The sequence below is a fragment of the Homo sapiens genome, chromosome 6 (genome assembly GCF_000001405.40).
Source record: "Homo sapiens chromosome 6, GRCh38.p14 Primary Assembly".
Taxonomy (NCBI): domain Eukaryota; kingdom Metazoa; phylum Chordata; class Mammalia; order Primates; family Hominidae; genus Homo; species Homo sapiens.
In genome coordinates, this window is record NC_000006.12 from 52,351,590 (window position 1) to 52,375,263 (window position 23,674).

Sequence of the window (23,674 nt, forward strand, 5' to 3'; positions counted from 1 at the left end):
GTCTCATATCTTGCGATGGTTCCTCCCATTTGGTAGGATAGATTTTCTTTCTCTTTAACCTTCCCCAGGCTTCATGGTTTGCACATCACCAAGCTGAGAATGCTCTCTAAGGCAGAGAAGTTGACAGATTTTCTTTTAATATCATAAGTTATCAGGTGGCTAAACTAGACCACATGAAAGGCCTGATGATCTTTTTCAGATATTTGAGCCTAAGGCCAGTTCATGGGCTCTATCCCCCCACCTACTTGATTTGAAGCTCCTGACCCAGTCCAGTAGCAGCAGTGGATGAAATTGAGTGACTTAAAATGTACCTAAGACTGAACATAAGAAGAGGCCAGGTGCAGTGGTTCACACTTGTAATCCCAGCACTTTAGGAGGCTGAGGCGAGAGGGTTGTTTGAGGCCAGGAGTTTGAGCCCAGACAGGGCAACATATGGTGACCCCATTTGAACAAAAAGTTAACCAGATGTGCTGGTATGTGCCTGTAGTCCTAGCTACTCAGGAGGCTGAGGCAGGAGGACTGCTTGAGCCCAGGAGTTCAAGGCTGTAGTGAGCTATGATTGTGCTACTGCACCCCAGCCTGGGCAACAGAAAGAGACCCTATCTCTAAACAAAACAAAAAAAAAGAGAGAGAGAGAGAAGAGAAGGGAAGGAAGGGGAAAGGGAAGGGCAAGAGGAGGAAGAGGAAGAAAGAAGAATGAGGAGGAGGAGGAGGAGGACAACGATGACACTGGGCAGAGCTGGGAGTGGAGGGAATGCAAACATTTAAATGGGCCAAAGAAATGGGGAAGGAGAAAGCAAGCAGAGAGCCCAGAGGAGAGATGACTCTCCTGCCCTTGCTTACACAAGGTGCTGACCACACAGCCACTGCGAAAGTCGATACTAAATCTTGGTGCTAGTTAGAGGAACTGGTAGGTTGAGTGAAACAGGAAGAGGAGCTGCTCCTGAATATCTGTTCCCCTGAGGATTTTATATGAGTCAGAGCATGTCATGGGAACCCAAAGTAAAGGACTGTGTTTACTTTCTTTTATACTCCATGTGTGTGATGAGGTGACTAACGGTCAAACTATTTGGTCACGGACTGTATAGCTCTCTCTTCCATGCTGAGGGGTATAAGCAGGAGTTGCACCCATGATTTTTTTCCTGTAAGTGTCATACTGCTGTGTGCCTCTGTGCTTTTGCACCTGCTATTCCTCAGCCCTGAATGCTTTCCTCCCCTCTTGTCTGCTTATTAGTCTCAGCCTTCATGACTCACCCTAAGCTTTTGCTGACCCTCCCAACACTAAAAAGCTTGGTAACTAGAGAGCTAGGAATGCCTCTTCTGTTTTTTTCATAGTGTCTAGTGTACCTTTCTTGTAGCCCTTGTAACACTGCATTGTCATCATTTCTTTAAATATGTTTTCTCCACTAGATCAGAGAGTGAAGATTGCACCATGTTCATTTCTTTGTCCTGAGATCTTAGCAAAGTGCTTTTAGCACCTAGGTGGTTTTCAATAAATATATTCTGAATGGATGAAATAATTAATAATAGAATATTGCATACTGAGCAATAGCCATGTGTCCCCTTTGTCCCCAGACTAAATTTTATTTAGTGTCTTCATGGCATTGTAATAAGGTACTTCCCTTCTGACCTAAACAATTTGCTGACCCCTTGTCAGAAATGTGGAGGGATCAGGGCTAATTGGATTTGTCCAAAGAGAAAAAGAGAGAGATTTAAAGCAGTCAGGCCTCATCCTGCTGCAGCGTTTGCTGGACTCAATCTCAATAGAATTGCATCCACTGGCACAATTCTTTTCCAGTCCTGATTTAATAGAGGGGACAAGAGATGTCAAATGCACCATTAAAGAGAAGCATAGGTAGAAGGCAGACTGCTCAGATCCAATGCTGCTAGTCAAAGGACCAGATGTACCCATTAGTGGCCGTTAGAAGGGGGCTCATTGCCTATGAATCTCAGGTTCCTGGAAGTCTGAGCACGCCAAGACTGACCTCCCTGCCACCCACACCTGCTGTACCACAGATGATGAACTGACTCTGACAGTTTTTGGTTGCCTGTAGCAAGTTACCTCTTTTAACATCTAATTTAAAAGAGAATAAATATTTGTTGTTGTTATGAGCTCAGAAGCACAGGATGTTCACAAAGCACCCCACACATCACCATCACAATTGCTATAATTAACTTTACTGTATTTTTGTTGTATAATAATCTATAGCTAATTATAGCCCATTAGAGTTGTATGTACATACCGAGAAATTAGCGACAGCCATTTACGTATGTATTTATTTTATAAAGAATATTTGGAAAATATTGGAAATAATTTTTTAAATGTTATCCTGGAAATGTCATTATAAATGTACAGCTTCTTTCTCTTTATTTATTTTTTTTTTTGCAGTGCATGTACAGCGTATCTTCTTTGAAAAAAAAAAGGATCACTTGGCTGGGCATGGTGGCTCACACCTGTAATCCCAGCACTATGGGAGGTCAAGGCAGGCAGATCACCTGAGGTCATGAGTTCAAGAACACCCTGGCTAACATGGTGAAACCCCGTTTCTACTAAAAATACAAAAATTAGCCAGGCATGGCACACTCCCGTAATTCTAGCTGCTTAGGAGGCTGAGGCAGGAGAATCGCTTGAACCCAAGAGGTGGAGACTGCAGTGAGCCGAGATCGTGCCACTGCACTCTAGCCTGTGCGACAGAGTGAGACTCTGTCTCAAAGAAAAAAAAAATTGGATCACACTGCACTATAACCTGCTCTGTTTTACTAAACCATAGAACCACAGACTGCATATTTCTCTGTGCCATACAGTCTATGTGATTTTTGAAGACTGCACAGTATTTCACATCATGCATAGACCCTAGTTAATTTAGTCAGTCCTCAGTCATCATACCTTATTGCAGGGAATACTTGCTTTGTAAGCCTCCTGCTGGAACTTCCCCTTGACATTGCCAGGATTTGAAGGCTCTTGTCAAAACCCCCAGGCTGTCAGATGATTTTTGGAGGTTACCTGGAACGTTTAGGGAGAAAGACCCGATAAACCTGGCTTTCACACTCAGAGTAGCTTCCAGGGTTCTTCCTGGATGTCCTCAGGGCTGGAGGATCCCAGGCTAGTGGGAAGGATAATCAGAGAATTTTAATTTAATTGAGAGGGAGAACAAAGGAGAATTTTACTTTAGTTTGAACTATTCAGGATACTTCTTCAGTATGTCAAATTCTTGCAACTCAGTTTACTTCAGTTTTTTGTTTGCTTTTTAAGACAGAGTCTTACTCTGTCGCCCAGGCTGGAGTGCAGTGGCGCAGTCTCGGCTCGCTGCAACATCTGCCTCCTGGGTTCAAGTGATTCTCCTGCCTCAGCCTCCTGAGGAGCTGGAATTACAGGCATGCCCCACCATGCCAGGCTAATTTTTTGTATTTTTAGTAGAGACGGGGTTTCACCATGTTGGTCAGGCTGGTCTCGAACTCCTGACCTCGTGCTCCACCCGTCTCGGCCTCCCAAAGCGCTGGGATTACAGGCGTGAGCCACCACGCCTGGCCAATTTACTTCAGTTTAATTCAATTTGACAATTTAAAAAATTGAGCGGTTCATTACCATAGCACTGCTTGCTGGGACCAGAATTAACCCCTGCTCATTCTTTTCCCTTCTCTCTCCCTTCCTCTCAGATTGGAAGACATGCTTCTCTTTAACTGCTTCTTCTTGTCCTCCTTGTTTCCACCCCGGGGCATGTTTTCTTCTGGAACATTTGTAGGTCATTCTAGCCTTCTCTAAGGGTTCAATAGTAAATGATGATGGACTCCTGGACTAAGTGGATTCTCAATGTGCCAAGAATTTACATTATTTGGTTCACACATTTAACAAATATATTTTGAACACATACTATTTGCTATGTCATATGGGTAGGACAATGATTATCATGTATACAAACCTCTCTCCGTAGGAGCTTACAGTCCAGCGGAGGAGCCAAAGAAGTAAAAAGAGATCTGCAAAATGAAAGTATCACAAGAGAGGTCAACTCAAGATGCTATTTCCCATCAGAACAGAAGTCACCCTTGACTAAAACCACAACTTTAAACTTGGCCCAACATCCAGTGCCTTGTCCCCAGGGGTGCAAATATGGACTGGAAAGGACCCCAATTTATCTGCCCTGCCCTGAGGTCTGGGCTGGGATATAGCCCAGGTCTCATCTATCCTGAGGGGCCTTCCAGATGGACACATGGACAGCCAGTTCTGGCCCCCTGACTTACTCCTCTGTAGTGAAAACAGACTCAGTAAACACAAGCTGAATTAAACTGGCCAATTGTTGCATTGATTTTTTTTTTCTTTTTAGATAATTAAAACCCTGAAACCAAGGCAGAGTCAAGCATGAATAATGCAATTGCTACTCATCTTGTCCAAGATTGCCATTTTCACCGTCCCATCCTATTTAAAGAAAGAGAGAACTGAGATAAGTATCCCTGAGAAAGGCTTCAACTAAAGAGCTATGGACAGGGACACTCTGTCACTTCCTGGGATTTTGACCCCCAGCTGTCCAACAGAGGAGGGTCTGTGCCTTCGCTCATTAGCCTAACTTAGATGATAGGTGACAAACTGAAGTGAGCTATAGGGAGTTGTCCACTTCCAGGCTGCTATCAGTATACCAGCTGGGGTGTGGCAAAGTCCAGAGGTTCAAGCCTCGGTTTTTCATCCTGGGTGAGTTCATATGGCTTTCCTTTTCTAGTCCTAAGCCTGAGAAATTTCTCTCCAAAATCTTCTTTTAGAACACAGTCCAGATTGAACTGAAGTTGGGCAGAGTAAAAAATGTTTACTTCTGGTTGGGCACAGTGGCTCACACTTGTAATCCCAGCACTATGAGAGGCTGAGGTGGGTAGATCATTTGAGGTCAGGAGTTCAAGACCAGCCTGGCCAACATGGTGAAACCCCGTCTCTACTAAAAATACAAAAAATAGCTGGGTGTGGTGACGGGCGTCTGTAATCCCAGCTGCCTGGGAGGCCAAAGGAGGAGAATTGCTTGAGCCTAGGAGGCGGAGGTTGTAGTGAGCTGAGATCGCACCACTGCACATCAGCCTGGTGAGAGAGTGAGACCCTGTCTCAAAAAAAAAAAAGAAAAGAAAAGAAAAGAAAAGAAATGTTAACTTCTCGAAGCTTTTGGTATCAGTCTGAAGTTCAATCTTTCTGATTTTCCCAGTGCTCAGGAATTGCCCACCTCCCTCTCTCCCCCAGGATAAAATGACTGAGAATCAGGAGCAAAGTGGATAGAAGAAACAAAATTGTCAGACCTTTTAAAGAGGAGGGAAACCAAGTCCATTTACCCTAAGGCTTTTTAGTTGCAAATTTCTGCTGGAGAATAAGGAAAGGCCTTGTGTTTTGATATCTACACTTTTATTTGCTGTTAAATTACCATGATCCAATTACACACTGTATTTCCTAAATCTGGGTTTTGTTTAGGAACAGGTGTTAAAATGAACACTTACACACATCAAATGTTGTTGGACTGTAGGAATTCATATTATTTTATTAATACTATTCAGCCATAAAAAATGAAATCCTTTGCACCAAAAGGGATGGAACTGGAGGTCATTATGTTAAGTAAAATAAACCAGGCACAGACAGACAAATACCATATGATCTCATTCATGTGTGGGAACTTAAAAAGTTGATTTCATGGAGGTATGGAGTAGAATGATGGTTACCAGGGGCTGGAAAGGGAGGGGGAAGTGAAGAGAGGTTGGTTAATAAGTACAAACACACAGTTAGGTAGAAGGAGTGAGTTCCAGTGTTCAACAGTACAGTAGGGTGACTATAATTAACAACAATATATTATATATTTCAAAACAGCTGGAAGAGAATATTTGAAGTGTTCCCAACACCAATAAGTGATAATGGTGGCTCACGCCCATAATCCCAGCATTGTGGGAGGCCACGGCAGGAGGATCGCTTGAGCCTGGGAGTTTGAGACAAGCCTAGGCAACATCGTGAAACCTGGTCTCTACAAAAAAAATACAAAAAATTAGTCAGGCATGGTGGTGTGCACCTGTAGTCTCAGCTACTTGAGAGGCTGAGGTGGGGGGATCACCCGAGCCCAGAAGGTTGAGGCTGCAGTGAGCTGTGATTGTGCCACTGCACTCCTGCCTGGGTGACAGAGTGAGACCCTGTCTCAAAAAAATAAAAAGTAAATTGAAATAAAAAAATTAATTTAAAAATGTTTTTAAAAAGATAGATGTTTGAGGTGATGGGTACTCTAAATACCCTGATTTGATCATTACATATTGTATGCATATGTCAACATTTACATGTACCTCATAAATATGTACCATTATTAGCATCGATTAAAAATTTTAAAATAAATAAATTAGATAAGACTTTTAAAATAATGCTAAGTCCTTTTATCATTTATTCTTATAGTTTGCCATCTGAAACTCTTCAACTAGGAACTAGTTACATTAGAGAATGAGAGATCAGATATAAGGCCTCAAAACCTCACATGTGCCCAGGGCTTACGGAGGGCCCAGGAGCAATTTCTACATCTCTTTTTTGTCTACATGGGTTAATTTATTTGCTCCCTGAATTGTTATTATTAAAAGTAAACAAAAAGGAAAAAATGGCATGAGCAATTCCTAATGAAAATCAAATTAGCTTTAGTGAGCCCCTACCATTCCACCATTAAATGGATAAAATAGACAGACAGTACAAGAAAATCATGATTTTTATTTTTAATCTGACTAACCACAGTTCTTTAGCATCCTGTATGTGAAATTAGTATCATGGTTACTTTTCCCAGTTGGCCATTTGGCAGGGGATCTAAATAGAAAAACTAAGTATGGATGGCTATCTGATCATGGAATGTCAAGGAATGATGGATTTGACTTCACGGTAAAAAAATACAGACATTCAAGTTTCCCCAAATTCTTCCTATGTAGTCCACTGGGATAGTATATCTTTTCTGCAAGTAGAAAGCATTGAAACAAAGATCCCATAAACAACCACCTAAGCTGGGCACGGTGGCTCACGCCTGTAATCCCAGCACTTTGGGAGGCTGAAGAGGGCAGATCACCTGAGGTCAGGAGTTCGAGACCAGCCTGCCCAACATGGCGAAACCCCTGTCTCTACTAAAAATACAAAAAAATAGCAGGGTGTGGTGGTGGGCACCTGTAATCCCAGCTACTCAGGAGGCTGAGGCAGGAGAATTGCTTGAACCCGGGAGGTGGAGGTTGTAGTGAGCCGAGATTGCGCCATCACACTCCAACCTGGGCGACAAGAGCGAAACTCCGTCTCAAAAAAAAAAACCCACTTAAATGAAGTCATTGTCTTTTCACCCATTTAATCAGGCCTTCATTATAAGATATGTGGGTACAATTATTATTTTTGTGTTAGAGATAAGGATTCTGAAGTATAGAAAAGTTAAGTTACTGGCCAGGCATGGTGCCTCATGCCTGTAATCCCAGCACTTTGGGACCAACATGGCAAAACGGCATCTCTACTAAAAATACAAAAAATTAGCTGGGCGTGGTGGTGTGTGCCTGTAATTCCCGATACCTGAGAGGCTGAGGCACAAGAATTACTTAAAAAAAACCCCGAGAGGCCAAGGTTGCAGTGAGCCGAGATCATGCCACTGCACTCCAGCCTGGGCGACAGAGTGAGACTGTCTCCAAAAAAAAAAAAAAAAAGGAAGAAGAAAAGTTAAGTTACCTACTGAAGGCTCTTACTCCCAAGGCCACACTTTTAACCACTATGCAAAGTGCCTCTCCTTTTCTCTGACAAGATAGTGAAGAAATTAATAGTCCTCAGTCCTTTCATAAGATATAAAAAGAAAACAAAAATAGTACAGCTTTTAAATAACTCTTCACTGTAGCAGTTTTCACAAACAGGTCTACTTTTAGTATAAACCAGTATATATACCAGAATGTTCCAGGCAAGTGGTTTTAACTATTTCACACTTCCATTTCTCCATGTTACAATAAGACTACCAGTTTTTACCCCTTTCCTACTTCATATAAGTGTATGAAGTTGAGTAATATGATGTCATCAAACATACTTTGAGCTTCTTGGAAAAGTGATATGTAAACACAAAGTAGAGTGTTTATAAAAACAGTGTCAATGTGGTATGTATCCAATGTAAAATAGATCAAATTATTTTATTAGAGATTCGGACAAAAATAACTCTTTAATCTTATCTATTTTTTCATCATTTTGCATACTGCCTGTGTCTGTGGCTTTCAAGGGCAATCTGAAAGGGAACTAGGTCTGATACGTGTTGATTGGATTCGCAGTTTAGCATTCTCCTTATTGAGGAAATACTGCAGTACCCAAGATCTTGGCTGTTTCCAGGTTTTGGAAAAATCTCAGGTCAAAATTGTGTTGCCAGATGGGATTATTACATAGAGGAAAGTTGGCTGTGAATTTCCATATACCAAAGGCCATCCTAACTGTCTTTTATGAAGGACCCAACAGGCTTTTATTATAATTCAAAAATAGCCAGGTCACCCTAGGACTTTTTCCAGTGTTACCAAAACATCACTTTTACTGCCCAAACGGAAGTAGGCCATTACCTCACAGTAGAAAATAAAAGAAGCTAGCTTGAGACCAAGGTAGTTTTAAAAGGCATGAAGGATGAGAACCACCATTCTTATTTAGTGGCTCTGGACAGCGTCACTTGGAAACAGAACTGCCTCATGCACAGATAACAATGCCTGACACCCATTACACTTTACATGCACGTTCACATCTGCCTTTTGGATAAAGGGCAAGAAGAAAGGAACATTTACCATTGAGAAAGAATTAGAAGCCTTGTTAGTCTCCTTTTAAGACTTCTTCACATTCCACATGGATTAACTGTTAGGGAGAAAAACACTGCAAAAATAATCAGCAATGCATTTCGGAGGCTCATCAGCTCCCGGCTGACAGCTCACGTTAGTTGGATGAAGGCTGTGGATAGGCTTTTAGATGTGCTAACCTGTAATTTTGTTTCTAGAGTGGCCCAAAGTGGAAGGAGTTTTCACTCCCTCTCAATAAGCCCTCTTGTACGGTTGTGACCTCTGGCCTATCATAGGTTTTTGACGATAAAGGAGAGCCCGGGTTTTTGAGGTTAAGGGAGAGTTCCCTGACATCTTTGGGGTGAAGAAGAGATGGAGGGAGCAAAGCTGCCAAAGACCTCCTGTGACATTTCCACTAGTATCCACCTATAAGTAAGTGCTGGACTATGATTCCCTGGGGAGATCAGTGGCTCTAAAGACAGGCCCCTGGGCTCTTTCCTGGCTCTGACTCAGCTTCAAACCTGCCGTGCAACTGCTCAGAGTCTAAATGTCTTCATTTATGGAACTGAAATAATCCTGCTAAGATTACTTTCTTTGCTTCGTGATGTTTGCCTGAGAATAAGTAGCTGGGACTACAGGCGTGTGCCACCACGCCCATCTAATTTTTGTATTTTTTGCAGAGACAGGGTCTCACCTTGTTACCCAGGCTGGTCTCGAACTCCTGGGCTTAAGCAATCTGCCCACTTTGGCTTCCCAAAGTTCTGGGATTACAGGTGTGAACCATCACACTCGGCTAAAATGTTTTGAAAAATGGAAACATTGTACAAATGTGAGATGTTGTGCAACATGTCACTGAAACACGGTGGTATAAGAGAAGTTTTGGGAACCAGCAGACCAGAATTAGGCCTGAGAAAATCTTACAGTAAGCAGACCAGAATTAGGCCGTCTGAGAAAATCTTACAGTAAGCAGACCAGAATTAGGCCTGTCTGACAAAATCTTACAGTAAGCAGGCCATCTTCCCAGGCCTTCTCTTTTCTCCAGATAATGAAGAAGGCTTTTTAAAAGCAAAGCCAACTTGATTTGTTAATTGATCATCCAACTTCTTAACTGTCTTTTTCTCATGGTAAAATACCGAGAACATTGTGGGTGAGGAGCAAGTCGGGAGGTGGAACCCACCCCCGCACCCTGCCTCCAATAGATTGTATGTGTGGGTCGCTATTGCTGGGACCCACGAAGGCTGTGGATTGAGGACACAGGGTAGAAGTGGGATCTTCTGCAGGTCAGTGTCAGATGTGTCTGTGTGATGTAGTCATGGGAGAGGCGCGAGTCTTGGGCGGGTGTATCTTAGGGGTGTGGAAGTGTCTGCAAGGGCCTCCGTGGTATGTCATCACATTATTTATATCATGGGCATGACCCTGAACGTTCACCCGAGAGTGGTGAGAGAAAGGCCAGGATTTAAATCAGTCTTGACAGCGCAGATGAAGTTTGTTATTGTTTTCCGCCCTTCCCGAGGGACTTCGGAAATGGCCCCCTGAGAGGTGAATTCTTGGAAAGAATATGAGGGCGGTTAAGGCGTCTCTGTCTCAAACTCTCCGGATTTTTTGCAGCTACCAGGGACTGCGAGGGTCTGCGTCCTGGGTGGAAGGAAGCGGCGTCAGTCAACTTCCTCGCAGCGGCGGCAGCGGCGCGGGCTGCAGCGGAGCGCGCGGGTCTGCGCATCCCGCCCCCGGGTCGGGAAGGGGCGGAGCTGGGCGTCACCCGCCCCCGGCGGTCTCCTCCTCCCGGCCGCTCCCCCGAGCCGAGCCCGCCGCGGTCACAGCCACCCGCGGGAAGCTCGTGGCCGGGACCCCGAGGCGGGAGCGCGGGCTGGGCCGGGCTGGGCTACGCGCACGGGCTCGGCCGCCGCCCCTGCCGGTGAGTCCCGCCGCGGGAGGCGCGGAACGGGTCGAGTTGGGTATTGGGACCGCGAGGTCGGGGAGCCCCGGGGCCCGAGCTCGGGAGGCGGGGACGTCAGGATCGCGGCGTTGGGGAGTCCTCGCACCCCGAGCTCAGAGGGGAGGTCCAGAGTCGCAGCGTTGGGAACCTGAGGCCAGGGGCCGGAGTTTAGGGCCCCGATGTTGAGTCTCCGAATCCAAGCCCGGAAGGGGGGACGACGGGTTAGGATGCTGGGGAGCCCTGGAGCTCTGAACGGCTGTAGTGGGGTGGCCAGGACTGCGATGCTGGGGAGTCATGGAGCCTGAGCCTGGAGAGCTGGCGGGGGTGTGGGGACCGCGATGTTGGGAAGGCTGAGCCCGGAGGGCGGGAGATTCAGGACCAAGACGTGGGGGAGTCCGACAGGGCAGAACGAGGGGCGTCCTGTCCGCATTTGTGGGGCGCCCTCCGCAGGGCGGAGGGGAACGGAACCTGGGAGGGGAGTGCGGAGGAGAGGAAGCCCGGGGCGGTAGGGAGAGCCCGAGGAAGGGCAGCCCGAGGTAGGGGAACCCCGGAAAGAGTAGGGTGGGTCTAGGCATGTGCTTTCGCCGGGGAAAGATGGAGGGGGCTTCTCTGAGAGGGTGGGCGCGAGGAGCGGAGTTGTGATGGGAACCGCCGGCAGCTGGCTAATGGGCGGATGCTGGGGCTTGGCTGGATGGGAACGCCGCGGTGGGGTGTCGGAGGTGGCTGGTGGGGCTGGAACGCTGGGAACGTCTGTCTAGGCTATGAGAACGCAGCGCCCTCGGTGGAACAGGGTCGTAGATAACTCGAGAGGGAATCTAGTCTAGGGAGCAAGACCGGGCATCCCCAGACGGAGGCGGGTGGGGACCTCGCACTCAGCGCGCTTGGGGAATATTCGGAGCCTGGGTTTGGGGGCTGCTGCACCTTGCCGACCCGGTGCGGGGACCTGGAGGTAGCCGGGCACAGCAGCTTCCTGTGCAGCTGTGGGTGCTCCAGGCACTGGCAGACTAGTGGGAAGTCCAGGAGCCTTGGCAGGCTCATTGTCTTGACCTAAGTTGCATTCCATATTTCTTAGCTGGGTTAGAAATGATTTTGTCCAGGAACCCAATGAGAAGAGCCTGGGCTAAAAAAATTAGTTATGGAGTGAGATTTCAAATGTACAGGTAATACCTACCCGTGTGTGTGCGCGCCTTAGGGATAACTCATACAATACACTGTATGTGTGATTTTTAGACCCACGTGTGTACTACTTGTTCCAGTACTCTGAGAAGCTGTTTCTGGGTAAAAACGAGGAAAATCCACAACAAATACACACACCAAACAATGTCCACAAACGCACTGCATTCCAGTCGAGTTAAACATGAGAGTATTGTACAGTTTGGGAGTATTTGCTTGTCAGTGAAGACTCCTGTTACTGAAGTTAATAGGAGTTGCCTGCATGGAAGGTAGACTGCCCTTGACTGCCCTGTTAAGGTTATCCACAACGTGTACCCAGCCCTGAGCTGCTGCACCCTTGACCAGGTCAACTGGAAGGGAGCCAGACTGCTTAGGACCTCAGTGGATGAGTATCCAAGTGTGTATCTAAAAACAAAGGACCAAGGCATGGCTTTGTTTTTGTTTTTGTTTTTTATTTCTGCTGTTTGTCCTTGGGTGCGTGTCCTTCAATTATTAGTTAAATGTTGACTATCTTACATTAACCCATCTTGTATTGTTAATTATGTATGGTAATTATTTCAGTTATTTGGCGTAACAACCAATTCTGGAAGACCCAGAGTAGAGGAATCTTATTAAGTGGATATATCCATTGAAAGATATGTTTTTTTTTTTTTTTTTTTTGCGGGTGTGTGTATGCACCAGATTTCCTTCTGGTGCATATAGGTCCATCTTCTGACACACACTGAGATTTGAGCTTCATTGGATAAACAAGGATTATTTTGGCAACTAGCATTTGTTGGGTCTGTTTTTAATTCATGAAAAGGAAATCTTTAATAATTATGCAAGTTAACAGGATAGAAAGCGATTTATTCATTTTACAAGAATCATTTCAGGATAAGCATATTTCCATTAAGGGTGTGTGTATACCTTATTGAGTGGTCAGGACCTTGCATCAAAATCTGCACTATCATTCCTGCAGCAGTGTACTTATTCACTTGGACGTAACACTTGCTGATGCTTCCAATTCTTTATCCAAATGTTAAAATAAATATGCCAGTATTTATACATTCAAATCAGTATTTCTCCCCTTCAAAAGCCTGCTCTTGGCAAGCTGTGTACTAATTCTAGTGATGCTGTCACTACTGAGAATAATTTTGGAGCTCCTGCTTTGGAGTTGCCTTCCGAGTTTGCAACACATTTCCTGATTGCCTCAGTGGTGGCAAACCTTCCTCAGCTGGGAAACAGCCAGGCACTGTGCGGGGCCAACTTGGGCTTCCGAGGTGGGGAATCGAGGTTGTCAATAAGTATGCTCATTAAAGTAATGAAAATTCTCTTGAAAGACTGGCAGTTCTAAAAGGGGCATTTAGTAATGGCATGGAGTATGTATTTAGGATTGGAAGGAATTACAGTTGGTCCCTGAATAACACCGGGGTTAGGGGCTCCCATCATCTCCACAGTGGAAATTTTGAGTACAACATTTAACTCCTCAAAAACTTAACTACTTTGAAGCACAACCTTCATTTTGGTGTTTATGCTCTGGTATGTATGTAAAGTAATTGGTCCTGTCACTTTATTGTTATAGCTTATGGCTTATTGGGCTAGAAAAAGTAAGCCTTTCTTTGCCCCTCCTGATACTTGTTACTAGGCAGTCTCTGTCATTGTGGATTTTTACAGAAAGCAAAACAAAAATACAAAAGACTTGTTGTCTCACCAAAAAAAAAAAGGTACCCAGAAAGCCATTTGCCCCAGCTGTAGGTAATGCCTGGTGCTTGATTTTTGATGTGAAAGGATCCACAGAAGTAAAGGGAAGAGAATGATTTCTGAACATTCATTTCAACTTTGGGATTTCATGGCACACAGTAAAAAATGTACTGAACATATCCCTTTTTAAAATTCGCATTTTTTTTTTCAGGTTGTGTTGCATAAAGCTTCATACAGCCACAGCTTGAATCTTGATCTAGCTGTGGTTTGGGGCAAGTTGTTTCATCTCTTTTGGCCTCAGTTTTCTTAAAATGAAGATATTAATGAGTATGTACCTCATGGGGCTGTGATGAAGATGAAATAACATTGATGCGTGTAGAACACTTGAGTTCGGTGCCGGACACATCATGAGTGCTCAACAGAGTCTACTTATTCTTGTTAGGAATATTATTTATTGATAGTCTTATGTTAAAATTCCTTTGAAGCCATGTGGAAATTTATCATTTCCCAGGTAATGATATTCCCTTCAGTTAGGTTTTGCAACTAACTACAAATAGAACATTTTGGTTTTTGCCCTCCTGGTCTTTTAAGAGTTTTTAAAGGGTAACCTGAAAAGCAACGACAATTAGTTATTTTTTATTTATTCAGAAACGAGGAAATACAGACTCCAAATAAGTGGAGTCAGTGCTCCCAGTTACTTTCTTTTGAATTCAGATTTTTTTTTTAAATGAGCATTCCTGTTATGATTGTATATTATGTATAACAGTTTGGTGTGGTAAGGCAAATCTGAAAGAAAAAAGTTTAAAAGCCTCTTCTCTAATTTTTTTCCCTTCATCCAATGAAAATATTATTCTAACGAAACAGCTACAGTTCTCTTGGCACGTATTGAAAGAGACGATTCTGGTAAACATTCCCTTCATTCCAAATGTGAGTTTTGCTCTGCTGTGTTTTTTAAACAATAGGGAAGAATAGCCTGGCACTGAAATCTCAGCTCTTCTGTAAATGTCAACACTAGTTTTTTTTCAAGTTTATAAATTTTATTTTATATATATATGTACATATATTAGAAAGATGGGAAAGTTTCATCTTAATTTTAATCAGATGATTAGGGGCTGCTATGAAATAGTTAATGTTTCATGAAATGTTGACCATTTAGTGAGAATTCTCTGTTCTAGGCAAGCAAGTGCTGGAGATGGAGAGGCTTGAGACACAGGCTTTGCCCTTCAGAAGTTCATTCACATCATGTGCTCTCTTACAATGATGCAGGAACAAAAGCTTCTTCTCCTAATGGCCTGTGGAGCTAAGAATTCATATGGATTTTACTACATGATATTTTCCTTCAATTTCTCAAAGAAGGGTAAATAGGTGGATCTCTCAATAGTGTTCATATTTTTGAGGTGGATTAACTCTTTCAAAATTAGATCCCAATATGTACTCAGAGGCCATAAAAGGAGAAAATAGCTATAATTAGTGAATTACAAAGTATATCTGCAGGATGGGGTGGTATTATTGCTATACGAAACTTTCCTGGAATGTTGTGTTTGGTTTTTGCTCTGTCTTCTGAGTAGCGGTTTATGTACTTGTAAAGGACCAGGAAACAATATACATTGTGGCTTAGACTGGAGCCATGATTCTTTTTTTTTTGAGATGAAGTCTCCCTCTGTCACCCAGGCTGGAGTGCAATGGCGCAATCTCGGCTCACTGCAACCTCCATCTCCTGGGTTCAAGCAATTATCCTGCCTCAGCCTCCTGAGTAGCTGGGATTGCAGGCGCGCACCACCACACCCAGCTAATTTTTGTATTTTTGTAATTTTTGACCACCATGTTGGTCAGGCTGGTCTCGAACTCCTGACCTCGTGATCTGCCCATCTTGGCCTCCCAAAGTGCTGGGATTACAGGCGTAAACCACTGTGCCCAGCCTGGAGCTGTGATTCTTAATGGGGAGAAGTGGGTGGTGAATTTGCCCCTTTCCCCCAGAGGATGAAATTTGGTGGTGTCTGGAGACATTTTTGATTGTCATACCTGGAGGGGGAGGGATGTTACTGGCATCTAATGAGTGGAGTCCAGAGATGCTGCTAACCATCCTAAAATGCACAGGACAGCCCCGCACAACAAACAGTTATCTGGTTCAAAACATCAGTAGTGCTGAGAAGCCCTTGGCTAGAGCGTGGGATTTGGAGTAAAAATAAACCTGCATTAGCACCCTGACACCACCATTTCTTAACTGTGCCACCCTGGGTGTGTTACTTAATCTGAGTATCCATAGGATGCATATCTGAAGAGATGTGAGTTAGAGTGTGTATGAAATGCTTAACACACAGAAGGATCGCAATAAGTGTCAACTCTTAGTATCATGACTGGTAGATCTAGGTCAAAATCCAAAGACTGTGCTTTAAACAGACACAGCTTTTGTTTCTTAACCTATTATGTACAGAAAGAATTCAGGTTTCTTGTTTTCATTTGTGTGCCCAAGGATAGGGCAGGGGCACAGATGTAGGGCCTCCAGCGTCTCTGGTACCTTCTGCATTTTGTCCTAGGTTCTGCCAGACAGCTAAGTGTACTCTGCAGATCAACCACGCAAACAGGACAGTCCCCCAGACTTGTGTAGAGGAAAGATGAGGATGGAGGAGCTTTCTGTTCCATGTGGGCTACACTTGGAAGGGGGAGATAGCCAGGCCAGGAAGCTCCTTCTGATTGAACTTATTATCTCCCAGGCTTCTGAAGGCTCTTCTCAGACCCTTGTCTAGACATGACCAGAGAGTTTCCTTTGCTGTGTGAGCAGGTGAGGAGGTCTGGCCATTTCCCTCCCCTTTGCTTTTCTTTAGCCAGGTATGGTGATTCATGCCTGTAATCCCAGCACTTTGGGAAGCTGAGATGGGAAGATCGCTTGAGCCCCAGGAGTTCAAGACCAGCCTGGGCAACATGGCAAGACCCCATCTCTACAAAATATACAAAAAATAGCCAGGTGTGGTGGCACGTGCCTGTAGTCCCAACTACTTGGGACGTGCACACACACACACACGAGCCACATGAGTGAGTAATCAACTCAGTAACAAGCAGATCTTCAGCAAACGGGCAAGTGGAGCAAATTCTGGGCACAGAGAATGTTTAGCAGATAAGGATGTAAATAAGTAACAGTGTTTTCTTAGCTGTGATCTAGAAACCATTGGTACTGTGGTTCTCAGTCCTGGCTATAGGATAGAATCACCTGGGGTTGTCCAAGAATATTGATGCCCTAGCCCCACCCCAGACCATTGTTTGCGAGTCAAGGTGAGTAGCACCTGGGTATCAGATTTTTTTAATTTTTGGGTGTGAGTTGAGGGTCAAGGACCACTGCCGTGTGAAATGCATGACTTGTATTTAAAAAAAAAGAAGAAAAGGGAATTAAAAATATCTAAGTAACGTAAGTGTTGTTAAACTTTTGTTTAGTCTTGGGTATATGTTGGCTTCTAATTGGTTGTGGTCAAAGTTTGAAAAACATTGTTTTAGAACCTTAGAGGTGTTTAATTAATACTGATAAATTTACCTCATTCAATATTTCTGTGTGCACATCTGCTGGACAGTTTTCAAAGTAGTTTTATATATCTTCTCAAATATGACTTTTGCTACCATCCCATGAGGCATAAAGAGCAAATATACTGATTTTTTTTTAACAGATGAAGAGTGATATGGTTTAGCTCTGTGTCTCCCACCCAAATCTCACCTTGAATTGTATAATCCCCACGTGTCAAGGGCGGGACCAGGTGGAAATAATTAAATCATGGGGGCAGTTTTCCCCATGCTGTTCTCATGATAGTGAGTGAGTTCTCTCGAGATCTGATGGTTTTTTAAGGGGCTTCTCCCATTGCTTGGCACTCATTCTCTCTCCTGAGAGAAAGATTTTTCTTTTCTCAATGTCTTGGAGGGTATAGGCTTCCAAACCATCTGGGTGGCAAATAAACTGTTCATATTTTCCTATGTGAGGAATATTCAATACCATATCAGAGCAATATTTTTTGAATGAGCAAATAATAATTATGATAAATGTTAATATACAATGGAGGTAATAGGTGACTTCAAAATTTCAAGACAAGTACACCTAGGGAAGACCCAAGGCTGGTTCACCTCTCTTTCCAGGGTGACCTGGTTCCTGACTTTAATCAACCCTCAGTTCCTAGGGCTGTAAGAATTTGAGAAAGACCAGAGCTAGGGTTATTGATTTAAGAGCTTTTTGTTGATTTTGAGACACAGCTAACAGTAGAGGTGGTGACATTTATCCTTTTCAGGTCCAAGATTAAAAGGAGCAAAGAAGAAGAAAAAAATCTCTATTCTCAAAGAATAGAGAATTGAGTACTTTCCAACAATATTGTGAAACTCTGTATTTGCCCTGTCCTTAACACCTGCTCTTTTGACTCCAAGAGAATACCAAAAGGTTCAAAATAAATCCGTAGTCAGGAAACTGGAGGTGAGCTACAAAACCAGGCGAAGATGGACATAAAATATACATACTCTGCTGAATAATGTCTATGGATCATAATTTTGGGAGAAATGACTGTTGGTGAAAACTATAAAGAGAATTTGGTAAATCTGTATAAAATATGGAAGAGCAGATAGTATATAGTCAGTGATGGAGTTTAATGGCTCTCAAATTAGAAAATTTATATTTTCCATGGTGAATTCATTCCAGAAATCCCATCTTAGCTTTTTTATTCCTGCACTTAAGCAAGATAAAGTCATTACTATTATTCCCTTGAGTTGTCAGAGACCCTGAGTACTTTAGAAAGTGGAATTAGTTTCATGGGCTAATACTCAATTGCCTGCAGTGCTAAAATGTTACCCAGATAGGTTCAAGAATGTCACTGAAACCAGGTGGCATTTCAAGAAAGTAGAAACTGATTCCGCAAATCTTGGTTTGATGAAGAGGTTCATGTTAATTCATGAAGTGCTAAAGGTATTTCTTGGATTGCATGGGTTTTTTTTTTTCCCCTCTTTAAAATATACTGAATAATGACTTGTTTATGACTTATATCTCTGGAACTATTGCCACCTTCTGAGAAGCTGCTGGTCTGAGGGTCTCAGACAATGTCTTTGTCTCATCTGGGATGTAAATATCTTAGATTTTTGTAGGTCTCAAGAATCAGTCTAACTCGGACACTTGGGAGGGAGAGGGAGAAAAAGGCAATAGATGTTGTTGGGGCATAAATGAAATAAGGCCAGAGCGGCAGAGGTGGGGTTCAAATAGGATATTTGTCAGTTCATTTACAGGGATATTTTTGGCCACTTAATAAGTACCCAACACTGCTAGATTCCTTGAGAGATGTAAGAGAAGCGTAAAGCACGTCTTTTTGTGCTTAAGGAGCCTAATACATTTGGAGTGTCTGCTTTTTTTTTCCATGAAGGAGAAAACTTTAGAACGTTTATAATTGTGTGTAGGACTCTGAGGCACTGGTAGTAGGTGCAGTACCCCTCAGTGTGAGACAGGGTAAAGTCAGTGGGAGCTCTTACAGTTTGAGTGTAATTCAGGAGAAACAACCTGAGTGAGATCTTGAAAGAAGAAGAATATCCAAAGAGGGGGACATTTATGATGGGAGACATAGCTTCTGCAATGGCACAGAGGCAAAAATCAGAATAGTATATGGTATGTAAGGCCCTGAGGAAATCACTTTATTTGGCTTCATTTTTCTTCGTATCACTTGGCACCACTTCACATGTATGTGTGTGTGTGTTTACTCCCTATCTTCTGCATTGGATTGCAGTGGTCAGCTACATAAGGAATACATAGAGCAGGACCTCAGATCTAGATTCCCTTTTGCAATTGGGTGTTTGCAGAAAGGAAAAAATTAAATCACTCATTGAAAAATATTTTTCAAGGGTCTACTTTACTATATGCTTGGTTGGCAGATTTCTAGGTACAGGAGATAACAGAGATGAACAAGGTCCCTGCCTTCATGCAACATATATTCTCTTGGGGGAGACAAACAATAAACAAGTAAATCAGGAAATGTATGATTTTAGGTAGTGAAAAATGCTATGAGGAAAAATAAATCAGGATAAGGGGAAAGAGAGTGCCAGTTTTAGGTAAGGGTAAGGTAAGGGTAAAATTTTAGATTAGCTCGCTTTTAGCTTCCCTAGAGAAGCCAAAGACCACTGAAGTCTTTGCTAATGGAGTTCCAGCTTTATTATATGCTCATCTTGTCCAGTGACCCTCTCAACAATATATGTACAGTGGACATTCAGCAAGTATTTCATAATAGTAATAACAATGGTCTTGCTAGACTTGAATTGGAGCACTTTTTTTCTCCTTTTTACTGTCTATAAAAGAAGCATGAATAGAAGAATTCTTCTATTACAGAAGAAGCATGAATTGCATAGGAGAGGACACACAGGTACTGTTGACAATAACACAGTGATCCATACATCCATCTCTGTGGAAAAGAAGATTGAACACAGCTGCATCAAAATGTAAAAGAAAATATTAAACTCTTTATAATTATGTGGCTGTGATACATCTCATGGCCTAGAGAACCATTGGGTCTAAATATTAACCAAATTCCAAAGGAGGTAATAATATATCCATGCATATGTAAAAGCATACAAAGACATAAAATAGCTACCATGTATTGAGCAATCACTGTGTGCCAGGCATTGTGCAATGTACTTTACTTGCATTACCTTTGGTCCCTGCAACAACCTTAGGAGGGAGATATCCCAGTACAAATGAAACAGAGATGAAGTGGCTAGTGCAAGGGCTCTTAAAGTTAGTGTCAGAGCAAAGATGGCAGATGCCTTGTTTGTGTGGGGGCATGAAATCGTGTTTGGAAATGCTGGTTTAATTAAGGGATTCCTTGGAGTGCATATCTAGCTTGGCATTACTCCAGGGTGGAGTTCCCTGTCTGTCCAGCTCAGCACTCTATCTAAGAAATCCTAGAAGCTGGGAATTTCTGGGGCTGGCTCTGAATTGATGTAAGTGGTTTCCTGAACCCACTGGAGGCATGGAGTGCATTGAACATTTTTTCACTATTTTGTATGCCTGTGAAACCACATACATGTCTGTCAGGCAGCTGCACGAGCCATTAAAACTTGGAAATGCTTAGCTTTTGGCTGGAAATGACAGTAGCTCAGTTTGGAGCCACTACCAGCTCAACTAAAGCTGACTCGGAACTCTGATTCTGTATATCTGTAAAAGATCTAGGTAATGAATATTGGAAGGATGTGAGATTTAGTAAACTTCCAAAGCATAGAGAACCAATAATGATCAACTTATTGTTACTGATAGTGAAAAGGTTGGGCAGTAGTGGATGATCTAGAGTGACAGTGAAGTTCTCCATGTGTTTAACTCCCTCATGTTGGCCCCAGAACCCACCCATGTTTCTAGAGAGGCAGGCTGGTCTCTTGGCACCTCTGTGACCTGGAAACAATGCCCTCAAAACCTCTGATCTACAACAGATTACATTTAATGAGCACATGTGTGCTAAGAGTTTTACATGTATTTCTCTCTCTCTTTCTTTCTCTCTCTCTCTTAAACTTTCTGTTATTGAAATTTCAAACAGGCAGAGGTAGACAATATGGTATAATAAATCCCCATGTGCCCATCAACCAATTTCAGTAATTATTAGCTCATGGCCAACTCCATATATATATATATATATGGATATATATATATATATCTTCAGATTATTTTAAAGCAAATCCCAGACATCATATTATTTGTGAACATTCTAAAATGTGTTTCCAAAAGGTAAGGACCCTTTTATTATAATTCTTTAAACTTCACAATAACACTGTTAGATATCACTATATCCCTATTTGACAGATGAAGGCTCTGAGACACAAGGAGTTTAAATTACTTGCCCCTGGTCACCCAACTTGTAACTGACGGAGTCAGGATTCAAATCCAAGTTGCCTAACTCCAAAGCCCATCTTGTTTACTGCCATGCTACATGGTTGCTACCAGACCCCACTGTTGTAGCTAATCCTTGCATTACAGAATTGGATCCTGGGATTAACAAACTCCCACGGACATGACTGTTGATTTCTATGAATTCAACCATTTTCCCATTGCTGCAAATTGGGTTCATTTAGGTACACAGGGACAGAATAGCTGTGAAAGGCCCGTCTGAAAGAAAGAAAGGACCAGCCTGAAATATTAATGGATTCTATTAGGGCAGCAAAACTGATAAAGCAGTCAAACCCTTCTTGTGATAGTGTTTTAAATCTTGGAGAAATCCACAATGAAAAGGACTTAATAGAAAATACGACTGTCATTGGGCCATAGCTGCCAAGGGAACTAAAAGGTTTCTTTTAAATGAATTCTCCTTTGGTTTTCTCTTGGCGGAAGGAATCAGCCGTCCCACTGAGTCTTTTCAGTTTGTTTCTAGCACAGCTAATTGTGTTTATTTGTCTCCGGAATCACATGCCTCTCTCCTCTCCCTTGCTTTTTCTTAGGGTCTCTTGCCTGCTGTGTACTGCTTTTACTGCCAGAAATGTTCTCCTCACCTGGGAGCCAGTTGGCTGCCAACACTGAGTAGGTACTGGGAGGCTGATTCTGCCTCTCCAGAGATCTGACCTGGCCTGGGTGTCCAAGATTGCCTTAGGGTAGAGGGAGAGATTGGATAAGCTGGCTACAAAAGGATCTGTTTTTTTTTTTTTTCCTCAGATGTGTCCACTTGGTCCATAACAGCATTAAGAACAGAGCAGACAGCAAGTAAATAAATCGTATTGACTAATTGATCAAGATAGCTTTGCTAGTTGATACGGTTTAGATCTGTGTCTCCACCCAAATCTCATGTTCAGTTATAATCCCCAGTGTTGGAAGTGGGGCATGGTGACTAGATCATGGGGGCAGTTTCTCATGGCTTCACATCATCCCCATTGAAGTTGTCATCCTGATGGTTCTCATGAGATCTGGTTGTCTAAAAGTATGTGACACCTCCCCACTCCCTCTCTTACTCCTGTTCCAGCATTGTGAAGTACTTGCTCCCCCTTTGCCTTCTGCCATGATTGTAACCTTCCTGAGGCCTCCCCAGAAAGTGGGCAGATGCCAGCATCATGCTTCCTGTACAGCCTGCAGAACCGTGGCCAATTAAACCTCTTTGCTTTGTAAATTACCCAGTGTCCAGTATTTCTTTATAACAATGAGAGAATGGGCTAATACACTAGTCAAGTTCAAGAAACTTTGGTTCTCCATTTTTCCTATCAAAACATCACATTGACTTTCCTGCTTAATAGTTTCCTTTGTCATTGGGATCACTGCACTGATATTTACTCGCTTCTTTCCTCCTCCTCCCCTCCCTCTTTTCGTTTTGTTTCGTTTCTTTCATTTCTTCTTTTGACAGGGTCTTACTCTGTTGCCCAGGCTGTAAGTACAGTGGTGTAATCATAGCTCACTGTGACCTTGAGCACCTGGGCTCAAGTGATCCTCTTGTTTCAGCCTTGTTATTAGGTAGGATTACAGTCACATACCACGATGCCCAGCTAATTTTTTGCAGGGTCTTGCTATGTTGGTGCCCAGGTTGGTCTTGAACTCCTGGGCTCAAGCCATTCTCCTGCCTTGGCCTCATAAAGTGCTGGGATTATAGGTATGAGCCTATAGGTATTTGCTTGATTCCTAAACCTCTGTTTCCTTTTCTTCCCCCTTACCTGTCCTGTCCCATCACAGAAGCCATATAACTGCTGGAGAACTTCCTAGCTCTTTTTTTAACCATCTTACTCATAGAGTTCTAGAAGATGGTAGTTGTCAGGATGCAATTGAAGAAAAGCCTAGAAATTCCACCTTTGGCTCTCTATGGGACATGCCAAGGAGGACCTCATTATTATTAGAGATAATAATTAATATAATATTATATTAATATAATAATATTAGAGATAATGAGGGAAATACATTTTCAGGGACAATGTATTTTATTTAAAGATATGTTATTGCAAATATTTTGAAATAGTTTTTTATTATTGATATGATCACTACTTTTTAAAAACGTTTAGTGGGAAAAACAGTAGACGACAAGTCACTTAGTTGTCTATAGTAGAGTCAGCTCGGGGGTGGCAAATATATGGCTCTGTGCCACTGTTCCCTCCTGAGCCCCACCTCCCTCAAGAGCTTGTGGCAGACATTGTAAATCCATAACACCTTGCCCTCTAAACTCCAGTCCAGGCCTGGAATGC

The 23,674-nt window shown here is 42.9% G+C and overlaps 1 protein-coding gene across 1 annotated transcript in view, besides 4 other annotated features; it reads left to right on the forward strand.

Moving 5' to 3' along the window:
* Positions 688–1,187: an enhancer, noted in NCBI's record as "H3K27ac hESC enhancer chr6:52217075-52217574 (GRCh37/hg19 assembly coordinates)". NCBI's record gives its function as "activates a minimal SCP1, AML or CMV promoter by ChIP-STARR-seq in naive H9 embryonic stem cells {active_cell/tissue: H9 hESC(naive)}" and the evidence as "EXISTENCE:reporter gene assay evidence [ECO:0000049][PMID:30033119]".
* Positions 1,102–1,151: an enhancer, noted in NCBI's record as "active region_24675". NCBI's record gives its function as "activates an Ori minimal core promoter by ATAC-STARR-seq in GM12878 lymphoblastoid cells {active_cell/tissue: GM12878}" and the evidence as "EXISTENCE:reporter gene assay evidence [ECO:0000049][PMID:35858748]".
* Positions 9,966–10,151: a silencer, noted in NCBI's record as "fragment chr6:52226353-52226538 (GRCh37/hg19 assembly coordinates)". NCBI's record gives its function as "represses an EF-1alpha promoter that drives an FKBP-Casp9 reporter gene in an ReSE screen in K562 erythroleukemia cells {active_cell/tissue: K562}" and the evidence as "EXISTENCE:reporter gene assay evidence [ECO:0000049][PMID:32094911]".
* Positions 10,325–10,814: a silencer, noted in NCBI's record as "silent region_17283". NCBI's record gives its function as "represses an Ori minimal core promoter by ATAC-STARR-seq in GM12878 lymphoblastoid cells {active_cell/tissue: GM12878}" and the evidence as "EXISTENCE:reporter gene assay evidence [ECO:0000049][PMID:35858748]".
* The window catches only part of PAQR8 (progestin and adipoQ receptor family member 8), a 45,627-nt gene continuing 32,514 nt past the window's right edge, over positions 10,562–23,674 (forward strand). The window contains exon 1 of the mRNA NM_133367.5: positions 10,562–10,660. The gene's annotated coding sequence lies outside the window, so the exon portion shown is untranslated. The remainder of the gene's footprint in view (positions 10,661–23,674) is intronic.